General features: G+C 39.3%; 1 long non-coding RNA gene across 1 annotated transcript in view, besides 1 other annotated feature; it reads right to left on the reverse strand.

Moving 5' to 3' along the window:
- IL12A-AS1 (IL12A antisense RNA 1) overlaps window positions 1-14,865 on the reverse strand; it is a 293,693-nt gene that overhangs the window by 39,183 nt on the left and 239,645 nt on the right. The window lies entirely within an intron of this gene.
- Window positions 11,578-11,857: an enhancer, noted in NCBI's record as "active region_20755". NCBI's record gives its function as "activates an Ori minimal core promoter by ATAC-STARR-seq in GM12878 lymphoblastoid cells {active_cell/tissue: GM12878}" and the evidence as "EXISTENCE:reporter gene assay evidence [ECO:0000049][PMID:35858748]".

Genomic DNA, 14,865 nt, shown 5'->3' on the forward strand with positions numbered 1-14,865 from the left:
CACTGGAGGCACAAAGGAGAATAAGACACACAAGTTCCTGCCTGTGGAGCTTACAGTTTGGTAAGGGAAAGACAGACAATAAAAAGATTAAATAACAAGGATGTATCAGGAACAGATAGGATGAAAATAAAACCAAGTTGTGTATTAGAACTATTAATTCAGATTGGGTGATCAGGGATGGATTCTCTGGGAAAATGACATTTAACAAGAAACATAAATGACAAAAAAAGGAGTTAGAAAGGTCAAGATGGGATGGTGGGATCATTCCAGGCAAAAGGAACAAATGCAAAGGGACTAAGGTAGATATAAGCTTAATGTGCTCAAGAAGTAGAAAGAAGCTAAAGGGTGGAAAGTGATGGACAAGGGAGAGGGTGGCACAAAATTAGTTAGATAAGCTAGGCAAGGCCATGTCACGGGCCTTGGAGATGCAGTTTTGATCTTAAAGGGGTCATAGGAAGTATGGTTGGAGAACAGGAGACAGAATTTAAGCATTGCAATAGTTAATGTTATGCAACAACTTGACTAGCTAAGGAATGCCCAAATCATTAGTAAAACATTATTTCTGGGGTGTCTCTGAGGGTGTGTCTGGAAGAGATTAGTATTTGAATCTGTAAACTGAATAAATAAGATCCACTCTCATCAATGTGGGTTGGCATTATCCAATCCATTGCGGGCCTGAATAGAACAAAAGGCAGAGGAAGGGTGAATTTTCTTCTGTTTGAGCTGGGACATCATCTTCTCCTGCCCTCAGACATTGGGACTCCTGGTTCTTGGGCCAGGACTTCCACCATAGGCTCCCCACCCATCTCCTATTGGTTCCATTTCTTTGACATCCCCTGATTAATACAAATATGGATCTCCTCTGGTTCCCTCTGGGCTCTTCAGCAAGTCACTCACCAGTCTAAAACTGGATCTTCTTGTCTCCACGAGAAAAGAAGAAGTTAGCTTTCATCAGTCACTCTGTGTGTGGAATGTTATATAATGTTGTGCAAGACATTAGGTTGGTGCAAACTTAATTGTGGTTTTTTATTTGCACCAACCCGATACATAAAAAATTTTAAAGACATTATTATTATTAACCAGATGCCAACTGCATTTATAAAATTTTATTTTCTTAGTCATCTCAATTTTGTAAATTAGTTTCAAACCAACAAAGCAAACTCCATTTTGTGCTTAGGAGAGGTGTACACACTAGGCTAGCAAGCCCTGTGGGAGTCTATTTATAAAAGAATAAGAGAGTCAAGGTTGTGTTCTGAATGCCCATTTTATATGCATGGCTTGAGTTAAGTTCTTTATGCATAATTCATATGGTCATTTACAGGCTTTTACATGACTCTTCCTTTAAGAGTTAACTAACAAAGAGGACATTATCAGCCATGGCACCAGGATATTATGCAAATCTTTCTATCTCTGAGCCAACAGAAAAGGGGATGGGTTGATTAATTAAAAAGATGAAGGAGGAAATGGGGGGTTCACACCCCTCTTGATGTTACTCATCATTTATTAATGTATTTAACTGAAAATAATTTTGAAGGATAAATGTGACTGTGTATTACCTCTGGTTGTGAAGGCACTGCTTAACCCTGTGCATAACCATTTGAGTAGATGGAAAATGTTTGATTTCATTCATTTCACAAGAAGCCCCACAATATGCCATCTGTAACCTGGAGAAGCAGGCAAGCTGGGGTGTAATTCAGTTTGAGTCCAAAGGCCTTTGAACTGGAGTGGGGGAGTAGGTGTCGGAGGGCAGGGGGTGCTAGTTTAAGTCCCTGAGTCTAAAAGCTTAAGAACCAGGAGCTGCTCCAATGTCTGAGGGGAGAAAAAGATGAATATATCAGCTCAAAAGTGAGAGGGAGTCCACCCTTGCTCCCCCATTTTGCTGTATCCCAGTGGACCCTCACTGGACTGGATGATGGCTGCCCACATTGGGGAGGGCAATCTTCCTCACTCAATCTGCTGATTCAGTGCTAATCCTTCCCAGAAACAGCCTCACAAACTCACCTAGAAATAATGTTTCACCAGCTATCTAGGCATCCCTTAGCCCAGCTTGACACATAAAATCAATCATCACACAATATAAGTAAAAATATTTGTCTGTATTTACCTTCATACATCGTGAGAGGGGCTACACAAATGTATGAACAGAAGGAGGCAGGAATTATTGGGGGCCATCTTGAAGACAGGTTACCACTGCCCTGTCACTATTAAACCATATATTAGCCCTGGACCAACTATACGGATTTTTGCTTTTGAAAAACATAAACACCTATCATGTTTATGCTAACATACTTGGAGTCTTTTTCTTACATCTGCCTAATCTATCTCCTAATGAAACCACTAATTTGCCACACAAAATTAGAAAAGCCAGCTGGAATCAGCTCACAAAGGGCCCTCAATGCTAAATTAAAAGCTTGGGCAAACCACTGAAGATTTTTGAATACTATTTTCAGTAGATTAATCAATCAGGCAACGGAATGGATCACAGTGAGGAGAGCCTGAAGTCAAGAAGATAATTCCAGGGGCCGTTACCTGAACTAAAATGGTGGCCATGAGAGTTAGAAGAAGTGCTAGATGTGAGAGACACTGAGGAAGAAGAGTCCCCAGGACATGAAGAGTGACCAGAGGTGTGAGGCAAGGGAGTTGGAGGAGTCAGGATGACCTCCATCATCCTGGGGTGTCTGGGGGATATGAGGTACTGTTAGATCATCTCAACAAGACACATGCATATTTTAACAACTCTGGAGCAAATAATAGAATTCTCTAAAGGGGTAGGCTGTAATGGGAATGTCAGGCAATGGAGAACAGGCAGTGAGAGAACTTCATCTGAGGCCAAGCCAAACCTAGATGGGTCCTTCAAAACCCTACCTCAGCTGGGCGTGGTAGCTCACGCCTGTAATCCCAGCACTTTGGGAGGACGAGGTGGATGGATCACCTGAGGTCAGGAGTTCAAGACCAGCCTGGCCAACATGGTGAAATCCTGTCTCTACTAAAATCACACAAAAAAATTAGCCAGGTGTGGTATGCGCGCCTGTAATCCCAGCTACGCGGGAGGCTAAGGCAGGAGAATCACTTGAACCTGGGAGGCGGAGGTCGCAGTGAGCCAAGATTGCGCCACTGCACCCCAGCCTGGGTGACAGAGTAAGACTCTGTCTCAAAATAAATAAATAAATAAAAATAAAACCATATCTCATTAGACTGCTGTTTTAACAATAGGGCCAGCATTTGTCACCCAAATCAGTGATCAATGAAATCACCTCATAAGGCACCATCCTCATGCTGGCTTCCTCCCTCCTCAGCTCTTCCACAACATGTCCTACTGTCACCTGATTGACAGCTTCCCCTCTGTCTCTTCCTTTAGTCTGTACCTCTTCGGGTATAAGGACTAGGTCCTCTGCATCTCTGAGTCACCACAGTAAGCCTAGTGCCTGCGGTAGCATGCATTTAATAAACACTTGCTTACTGCCTTCAGAGTCTGCAGCACATGTTTAAAAACATTCCCTAATCCTCTGAAGGTGACTTAATCTTGTTATCATTCTTCCTTACTCTGTGCCCAGCTCAGTGTTAAGCACTGGGGATAACAAGACAACCCTGGAGCCTGTCCTCAAGAAGCTTTTGACTTTATTCCCTAAACCTGAGAACATAAGATACATTCCCCCATATTCCTAATACTTACTCTTTGGTATGTTCTAATTCTAAATGATGGTGTCATTGCATTCTAATTCCACATTACAGAAGATTTGTGGATTGCCCTGATTCAGCTGTGGGGTAGACAGCACCTTGCTTCTGTTCCAAAATAACCTCTATTATTTTTGATTATTCAAATAATATATACTTATTGATAAATTTTATAAAACGAATTTCATGTCAAAATTTGATATGTTTTCTTAGGTAATTTTTTCTGTACATACGTGAATATATCTGTAATTATAACATTAAGAAGCATCTTCTGTTTTCTCATAGAAACAATGTTATAATTGGGATTGTCTTCTGATTTGGATTTCAGCATTTTATACATTGCAGAGGCCACAAATGATGTACCATAAAATACTGCCACAACTACAAATTTCTATAATCTTTAAAAATTATAAAATGAATAGTAGGTCCTTTAACATGAGTAATGATCATAATTCCTACTGCAGATGTTATCCAAAATTATAGTGAGGACACAGAGGCTTCCAAGCCACCGAGTGCTGCTGTTAATTTTTTTCATGAGGTGAGCATTCTTGGAACTAAAGAATTCCCTTCCCAGACTACCAGGGAGAGAAATCTCCAGGATCACTAGAACAATGCCTTTTCAGTGCCTGATTGCATTCCCAGCAAAGTTGGTGCTCATAGCCCCAGTCTCCATGTCTGGCCAGTTATGGAACTGATATGAATGGGGTCTTAGAGACCAGTTAAACCATAATTCCTCATATTCCATAGTTCAAATGGTAAGCCTCTCTGGGTTTCTAGTATCTCATATATCATTAATCCTATATTCCTTCTTCTACTATGACCTCCTCTACTATGACCTCCTTCTACTATGACCCTTGTTTCCTAAGAAAACTTCCTACAATTTCCTTTGGAGTTCTCACTTTATGTAAGAAAATGGCCAAACCTTTTATTTATGATAAGATCATAGGTTATTTGGAACAACATCCCACTAGAAATGACTTTTTTGAAAAGCTAAATCTACATTTAAGACTCTTAAAAACATCCAAAAGCTGAGAAGACAGCAAGGAACGCCAAAACTGAAGAGAAAATGAGAACCTAGTGAGTTAAATAAGCAGAAAAGCGACTGAGCGCATTTGCCTTATTCTGAAAAGTTTAAACTTCAGTATTGATGTCCTTGTGGGGCAAAAGGAATATTTATCAATCCCAAGACCTGCACAAGATGAAGGATCTAACAGGAGACACACAAATATGCCCATAGTAAGCTAGAACCTCAGAGGACTACAGCCTCAGGATAAGGCTGACCTGGCTCATTCTGGGAACTACAATTCTTAAATTTGATATAATGTGGTCCTTGACTATTAGTGGAAAAAGATCCCAAGCACAGAAAATTCTCTCTGGAGAGTCATCCTAAGCCTTCAATTGTAAACTCTAATTTTTTCCAAATATAATGGTAAGCACACAATCATAGTTAACAACTTGAGAGCAATATGCACCAGAATAAATAAAAATCACATGCAAGACTTCATATATTGAAATTGTCAGACAAAGACCATATGTTTATGATGTTTAAAGTTACAAAGACAAGCTTGAAAATATCTGCAGGGACAAGAAAACCATAAAAAGCAAAATAACACATTTCAAAAAGAACCAAATAGAACTCCTGTGAAAGAAAAATGCAATCCACAAAGAAAAATTTAGTGAATAAATGTAGGTTCATTCAGCCTCCAGATGGCATCCAGCTTTCTCTTCAGCTATCCAGACATAGCCAAAGAGAAAACTGGTGAACTGGAATATAAGCCAGAAAAAGTATCCACAGTGTAGCAAATAGAGACATAAAAATGAGAATCACAGAAGAGAAGAAAAGAAACATAGAGGATAGACCGAAAAGTCTACTACACGTGTAATTGGTATCAGAAGAAGCTAGATATAATGGGGCAGAGATTATAGTTGAAGAGATAATGGCTGAGAATATTCTAGAATTCAAGAAAGCTATCAATCCACAGATTCAAGAATCACTACAACTCTTAAGCAATATAACTAAAATGTCAGACACATCATAATGAGTGACATGGGTTGGCTCTGTCCCCACCCAAATCTCATTTTGAATTGTAGCTCCCATAATCCCCAGTGGGAAGTAATTGAATCATGGGGGCGGGTCTTTCCCATGTTGTTCTCATGTTAGTGAATAAGTTTCATAAGATCTGATGGTTTTATAAAGGGGAGTTCCCCTGCACACATTCTCTTGCCTCCCACCATGTAAGACAAGACTTTGCTCCTACTTCACCTTCCACCATGATTGTGAGGCCATACCAGTCATGAAGAACTGTGAGTCAATTAAACCTCTTTCCTTAATAAATTACCCAGCCTCAGGTATGTGTTTATTAGCAGCGATTACAGAAAACTGGAGGCAAAGATAACACCTCGAAAAGCATCCAGAGGTGTAAAAAAGACAGATTAACTTCAAAAGAGTATCTGTTAAACTGGCATATAATTTCTCAACAGCAATACTGGAAACAAGAAGACAATGGAATGATATTTCCACTATGCTAAAAGATTACTGACACCTAGAATTTTATACTCATCAAATATACCCCACAAGAGAGTAAAATAAAGACATTTCAAACTAACAAAACAGCAGTGTTGCCACCATCACCCCCATGTGAAAGGAAATTCTGAAAGGCTCCCCTCACAGTAGAAGAATGATTGCAAAAAGAGGTCTGAGCTGCAAGAAGGAAAAAAGAGCAAAGAAAGTAGGAAGTATGTGTATAAAGCTAAATGAACACTGACAGTATAAAACAACAATGATAATAATGTCTTTGTGCTTTTAAAATATATAGAATTAAAATATATGATAAAAATAACATATATACCAGGAAAACAGTATCCTAATTTTTTTATTGCTCTTGAGGAGGGTAACGCTAGGTTTTAATATATTAAGGATACAGGTTTTCATATCAAAAGTAATGTATAACTTCCAAATGAGTAGACGGGAAAAGTGGAATTTTTAAAAACCCTCAATAAATGTAAAGGAAGGACATAATTGCCCCAAAAGTCAGGATAGTGGTTAATTCCAGAGGGAAGGGGATGTGATAAAGAGAGAACACACACAGAGTGCTTCTGGGGTGTCAACGATACACTATTTCTTTAACAGGGCAGCAGTTACATGGCTATATGCTTTATAATTATTTGTTATGCTGTACATTTAGGTCTTAACGTACTTTTTTCTATGTGTGTTATATTTTATAATAAAAAGAATAGAAAATGAGAAACTAATCTTCCCCATACCTTCAACCTCCAAACAAAATAGTCACTCAATCCCCTTTTCTTGCTGGAGCTCTGACTCTCACCCACATCTCTCCTCCCCTTTCAGGGCCTCAGTGCTGCTTCAAGAGTATAACTCTTCTATTTTCCACTGAAGTCTATGCTGCCTTGCTAAGGCACCCACTGTCCTTTTTGATTTCTACCCCCCACACCCCTGCCCCTTTATTGAAGACATTGGCACCTGACTCCCAGCTTTCTCTCTGACTCCGATCCATCTCACACTATCATCACTTCAACACCTACATGGCCAAATCAGCTGACAATCTGGCCTTAAAGTACTTATATCTCCCTTCCCCCAGCTTCAACACTCTGCTCCAATCTAACCACCTATTCTCATGATCCTATTTGGACCTTGAAACCCTTTTTAAAATATTTTCTTTTAAAGCACAAAAAAATACAGACTAGTTATAGGAGAAACAGTGTAAATATTAACTTTTTAAAAAAGAAAGGAACAATATTTCACATTGCATGTCTGTATTAGAACATCTCATGTACCCCATAAATGTATGTACCTACTATGTACCCACAAAAAAATTTAAAAAACTAAAAAACAGGAAAAACGGAAAAAAATAAACTCACCCATGATCCACCCTACAGAAATAATAGAACACGGCTGAGCAAGTATGACGCCAGGAGTTTGGGTGCCTGGGAGAAAGATCAGACCAGTCAATCACAACATGGGCCTGTCCTGTCAGCCAAACCATGTGCGTTGGCACCGTGTGAAAATGTCTCTTGCAGATGAATTAATAGACAACAGAGTGTTTTGCTAGGGAAGGCCTTGCAGAGCAGGGGAAAGAACTCCCAGAAGGCCTGGGTTTGGTTCTGGACCCCGACATAAATCATCACTTTGACCTTAGCAAGTTGTCTCCTCTCTCTGGTTATATTCCCTCCTCTGTCTGACAAAAGGGTAGACTAACATTTTATCATCCAGAAGACCCACTGTATAAATTCATGGCCCTTGTGGTATTGTTGTGCATTTTTAATTAGCACTACTATGATGAACAGCATTTCATCATTTCTACTTTCTGTGCTCCCTTGACACCTCCATTTCCATTTCCAAAGGATATGGAAACAGCTCGCTTCACTTCAGATGTCAGTACGTATTAACAGCAGGGCACAGGAGATGCACATCTGAACTGGCAGAGATTAAATAACTGAGGCAGATAAAAAAGCTTTTTATGTTAATGTTCTTACATATCATTTATTGACAATCCAATCCTGTTTAATGCTTTTGAATCTCATTTTGGGGTTCGTCAGGAGCATGCTGGGACATTATTCACAAGCCATTTTATCCAGATTTCTTGATAAGCAAATGAAACACCTTTGGAGGCTGGCAGGTCAGCACTGGCCATATCAGAAGAATTCAGACTCTGTGTGTCTCTGTGTTTGATGTGGGGAGGGCCGATGCTTCCCTGGGTACTTGGTTCGGACAGCTCCCAGGCTCCGTACATGAGGAGGGTATGAACACTGTCTTCCCCTTACTGAGGCCCTCCAGCCCACTCATTTTTTTTACTCATAGGTTGCATGAATGATTGGCAAAGCTGATGACGGTGACAGCTCTGTAACAAGCATGGGAGACAGACACACTCCGTGGTCTCTGGGCACATGCATTCAAAAGCAGACATCACACACCACATGGTGAATAAGTGAAAGACCTTCAGACAGAATATTAAAATCCCAAGCAAATATGAAGCAGCCTTTATATAGTACATCCAGTCCAGGGTCAAGTAAATTTGTGCATGAAGAGAGATAGGAGCTGTGGGAATATGAGGTGTGGGGCCTCTGGAATGTGTGCGCCTGCAATCAGAGAGCATCTGGCCCATATTAACCTACACTGCAATGGTTAATGTAGAAATCTATTAGAAAATGGATGAGGTATTATTATTGCATTTGATTTCAGATTTCTTCATAGTTAATGAAAGAGCATATAGCACAGATGTTAAGAACCCAAGCTCTGGAATTAAGCACAAATCTTACCTCTATGAACTACACTTTCCTCAAGCCTAATGGGGACAATAATAATACCCCCTACCTAAGATAAATGTGAAAATTAAATGATAAAACTGCAAATAAAATACTGAATATAGTGCCTAGCATATCCAGGAAACTTACTAGTTATAAGCTATTATCACTGTTTTTATATTTGGTTATAGATGAATTCCTTTTCAGCTAAAGATAAAGGTTTAGAGATTGAAGCTTCCTTGGATTCCCACCCATCCAACAAACATATTTATAAGATTACTTTCAACATTATTATTGTTCAACATTATTGTTGTTTATTATAAAGGTGAGTTTCTTAATTTTAAAAAATTCTACCTATTTTAATCTTTATTTTTATTTTCATTATTTTGTCCTGTGAGGTTACAAATTTTTTTTTATTCTATATACAGCACAATTAACCCTTGAACAATGTGTACATGGATCTTTCTCTCAGTCGAAAATCTGCATATAACTTTTGCATATAACTCCCCAAAAACTTAGCTACTAATAGCCTACTGTTGACTGGAAGCCTTACTGAAAACATAAAACAATCAATTAACATATATTTTGTATGTCATATGTATTATATATTCTTAACATAAGCTAGAGAAAAGAAAATCTTGGCCAGGTGTGGTGGCTCATGTCTATAATCCCAGGAAGGACTGTCTTGAGACCAGGAGTTCAAGACCGGCCTGAGCAACATAGCAAGACTCCATTTCTATAAAAAAAAAAAAAAAATTTAATTAGCTAAGTATGGTGGTGCGTGCCTGTAGTCTAGTCTTAGCTACTCTGGAGGCTGAGGTGGGAGGATCACTTGAGCCCAGGAGTTCAAGGTTACAATTAGCTATATTCACACCACTGTACTCCAGCCTGGGCAACAGAACAAGACCCATCTCCAAAAAAAAAAAGAAAAAAAATGTTATTGAGAAAATTATATGGAAGCCAAGCACAGTGGCTCACACCTGTAATCCCAGTACTTTAGAAGGCTGAGGTGGACGAATCTCTTGAACCCAGGAGTTCGAGACTAACCATGGGAAAACATTGTCTCTACAAAAAATAGAAAAATTAGCAGGCATAGTGACATGCATCTGTAGTCCCAGCTACTCAGGAGGCTGAGGTAGGAGAATCACCTGAGCCTGGGGAAGTTGAGGCTGCAGTGAGCCATGACTCCACCACTGCACTTCAGCCTGGGCTACAGACTGAGACCTTATCCCAAAAAAAAAAAAGGAAGAAAATCAAAATCATATGGAAGAAAAAATACATTTACAACACTGCACTCTATTGACACCACAGGTTTACATTGTCTGTATATGAGGTGAATGATCTGCCTAAAATGGCAGGCAACCGCAGCTGCAGACCTCAATCTGTGGTTCAGATCAAGCAATTCAATTTTTCTTTGCAACATCATGACTTTTCTCCACTTCTTGGGAGCACTTCCAGCATCACTAGTAGCACTTTATATGAGTCTCATGGTGTTATTCCAGGTTTACATTATTGCACTAAACAGGAAAAATACAGGAGAACTGGGAGAGATCACTTTCTACTGCAATCCACAATTTACTGGAGAAATGAACTGCTCACTTGGAGATGATTAGCATCACAGTGGCATTTTAAGCAGATACTTGCAACACTTGAGCTCACTGCAATAGTAACAAGAGGCGGCTACAAAATTGTTACAGTAGTACAGTATTACAGTATTGTTGCAGTTAATTTATGCAGTTATGATAGAATATTGCATCTTTACATTTGTTTACATTTCTCTCAACTGCAAATAGTGCCATGTACAGTCTGTGTTTGTGTGGGTGGTTTTCTTTTTTTTTTTTTTTCTTTTGAGACAGGGTCTTGCTCTGTCACCCAGGCTGGAATGCAGTGGCAGGATCATGGCTCACTGTAGACTAGAACTCCTGGGCTCAAGCCATCCTCCTACCTCCGCCTCCTGAGTAGCCAGGCATAGTCCCATTTTAACATTTTATAATAGATTTCTGAATATTTTATGGTAGTAAATGATAGACTAGTGTCTGTGTATATTTTATGCATTTGTGACATACCTTTTTCTTAATTTTAGAACTACTTCTAGGCTACACAGTTCATCTGCAAGTTTTTACAAATTGTTGCAAATCTCCAAAAAGTTTTCAAATATATTTATTTTTAAAATTCGCATATAGGTGGATGCTTACAGTTCAAACTGATGTTGTTCAAGGGTCAACTGTATTTAAAAGTTCTTGTAGAAATTTATATGTGGTCTTACTCATTTCCTTAGTTTATCATTTGTGAAGTAGGTAGCACATAATAATGTGTTTCTTCAGAATAGTTACTTGTCATGTGTCAAAATTATTTTTTAAAAGTATAAACTTATACATAAATATTAGTGTGGTTATTTTCAGTAAAGTCATTTTTTTCTTTCAATAATTCTGTGGATACAAAAATTTAAGGCCATAGGCAGTAAAACTCATAGTCGGAAAGGGCTATCAATCTTCAGGTAGCCTGAAGGATGTGGCATATTGTCAGTGCTTAATAATAATATATCTTATCATTAACATTGACCTTTTTCGTGGCCTCTGGAGTTTTATATGCCTTGTCTAGAAGTTGTACCAATTTGCGGAGATAGTTGTGCAAAGTACTTGAATGTGGAAGCCATAGATGCTCACAGCATCGTCACTGAGGACCTTACACAAATAGATCGGAGGTAGACCAATTCCGGGATTAGTTAATTCAGTCACAGATCATCAAGGGCCCAGTTTCTGCTTTCCATTCTGCTTTTCTCAGTGTGTCATCTTTATTCTCAGGCTGTTTGTCTTCCTAATAACTCCCCATCCAAACATGAGAATGTCCAGAAAGAGAGGGGGTAACTGGCTTAGGTGTTCTTTCTAAATTTGCTTCCATAAAAGAAAAGGATTTCACTTTCTTCTCTCCACATACACATAGCCCTTCTCAGTACCCTATCTCCCCAACAGAGTCATATCACAATTCTACTAGAGACATATTCAGTATTTACATTCTGATGACATCTTAGACATTAGTCAGAAATGAGTCAGAGGCGATACTAGTATTTATATTCCCTTTCCTGTACAGCTTTGTGGGGTTTTTTAAAGTTAATAATTACTAATTTTATTTTTAAACATACTTTCTATTGTGTCAATCACAAAGTCTCTGTGGATCATCTTAATTCCTCTTAAGGTGTTTAGAAGCGTCAGGTATTCATAAAATCAAAGCCCTGAAGAATTTTCTCTTGGAGACCTCTGACCTCTTGACCTCTGATCTGAACCGGCATTTGGGGGTCTTTCTTTTCTTCTTTTTCTTTTTCTTTTTTTTTTTTTTTTCAAGACAGGGTCCCACTCTGTTGCCCAGGCAGGAGTGCAGTGGCACAATCACAATTCACTGCAGCCTCGATATCCTGGGCTCAAGTGATCCTCCCACTTCAGCCTCCTGAGTAGCCGAGGCCACATGTGCATACCACTACGCCCCGCTAATTTTTTATTTTTTGTAGAGATGGGGCTACATCACCCAGGCTGGTTTTGAACTCCTGGGTTCAAGCCATCCTCTCACCTCAGACTCCCAAAGTGGTAAGATTACAGGTGTGAGCCACTGCACCTGGCCTAAGGTCTTTCTTTAACATCAGTCTAGATATGCTCTTTCCCTCACTCTTCTTTTAGCTCTTCTCTTTCTTGGTTGACTCCCCAGTTTTGTGGATGCACCCACCAATAGCCTTCCTAAGAAAGAATGAATCAGAGGTAAATTTACGATATTTTGCAAATGCCTATCCTCATTTGATTAATAACTTGGTAGGTCGAAAACTAAAGGTTGGAAATTATTCTGTTCCTATATTTTGGAGACATTTCTTCATTTTCTTTTAGTTTCCAGTTTTGCTGTTGGACAATCCAGAACTGTTCTGATTCATGATCCTTTTCTACATAAGTTGTTTTCTTTTCTCCCTAGACATTTGTAGGATCTTATCTATGTCCCCTGTGTTGTGGAATTTTGTGAGAATATGTATGAATCTATTTTCTTTTCTTTTCTTTTCTTTTCTTTTCTTTTTTTTTTTTTGAGTCAGAGTCTCGCTCTGTCACACAGGCTGGAGCGCAGTGGCGCCATCTTGGCTCACTGCAACCTCCACCTCCTGAGTTCAAGAGATTCTCCTGCCTCAGCCTCCCAAGTAGCTGAGACTACAGCCGCCCGCCACCACACCTGGCTAATTTTTGTATTTTTAGTAGAGATGGGGTTTCACCACCTTGGCCAAGATGGTCTCCATCTCTTGACCTCATGATCCACCTGCTTCGGCCTCCCAAAGTGCTAGGATTACAGGCATGAGCCACCGTGCCCGGCAGAGTCTATTTTCATCTATGTTGATGGCCACTCAGTAGACTCTTTCAATTTCCTTTAGTTCTGGGAAATTTTGTCAAATGATTTCATTGATTATTTCGTCTCCATTTTTTTTTTAGTTCCACATTATAAATCTTCTTTAAATTACCAATTTAATGAGCAAAAAATAAAAATGTTTAAAGTTTCAATTTTCGTTTCTCTTTGGTAATTAATGATGTTGAGTAGATTTCCATGTCTTTACTATTTTTATTTCCTATGTTAGTTATCAATTTGTACTCTATTACATTTTCTTCTTGTCTAGTAGGACTATACTTAAACCAACATTGCTACAAACAGCCTACTTTTAAGTAAAAATTCTTCAGCCATTATTAAAAGTAAAACAAGTAGAAACAAATAAAGAAAACAGTTTGTGTAATCCCACTACCCAACGATATCCAGCTACAGTAGATATTTTGGTGTTTTCTTCTATCCTTTTTTTCTATGCATATGATTTTGGATGGTGTTATCTGACAATGTTGTGATCATCTTATTGGTACAATTACATGCCTCACAATTCTATTTATCTATTTATTTATTTAATTAAATTTATTTATTTTGAGACGGAGTCTCCCTCTGTCACCCAGGCTGGAGTGCAGTGGGGTGATCTCGGCTCACTGCAACCTCCGCCTCCTGGGTTCAAGCGATTCTCCTGCCTCAGCCTCCCTAGTAGCTGGGATTACAGGAGCCTGCTACCATACCCAGCTAATTTTTTAAAATATTTTTAGTAGAGGCAGGGTTTCTCCATGTTGGCCAGGCTAGTCTCGAGCTTCTGACCTCAAGTGATTCACCCGCTTCGGCCTCCCAAAATCCTGGAATTACAGGTGTGAGCCACCGTGCCTGGCCTCTATCTTTGTTTTTAAACCTCTAAAGAAGGCATATTTTAATGTGCAAGTCACTCAATTCTTTTTATACATTTTTTACCAAAAAGCCCTCTCCTGTGAAATTTGAATTTTCAGTATGCCCACTTAGCAGTTGTTCTGAACTCATAGCAGGAAGAGGGGTGCACCACTGCAGACTGTGTCACCGGAACATTTAACAGTAGTTCTGTGAGCAAAGGGAGTAGATTTAAGATGAGAGTTGTAAAGTTCTGTGACTCCAGGCTCAGGAGTTCCCCACTTTGGCTGATGACCTCCTGACTGCTCTCTTTCCCTAATGAATTGTACCTACCCCATCTCTGTTTTCTCCATCTAAGGCAGGTCCTTGCCTTACCTTTCTTTCTGCACTGCCTATTCTAGATCCTAGTGGTCCAGATGCTCTCACTCCTTGACCTTCTCCCCCAACATATCTTCATGACTCACTCCCTCACCTCCTTTAGGTCTTTATTGCCCAGCCTTTCTCTCTCTCTCTCTCTCTCTCTCTCTCTCTCTCTCTCTCTCTCTCTCACACACACACACACACACACACACACACACACTAACTATACTCCCAATTCCCTATCCCTTGCTCCTTAGTTTCCTTTGTTCCCAAGCACACAATTTTATTGTATTCATGATGTATTCTGTTTATTATATATTCCTCATCTCACTTTATCTGTGAACAAAGTTTAGAGAT

The sequence above is a fragment of the Homo sapiens genome, chromosome 3 (assembly GCF_000001405.40).
Source record: "Homo sapiens chromosome 3, GRCh38.p14 Primary Assembly".
Taxonomy (NCBI): domain Eukaryota; kingdom Metazoa; phylum Chordata; class Mammalia; order Primates; family Hominidae; genus Homo; species Homo sapiens.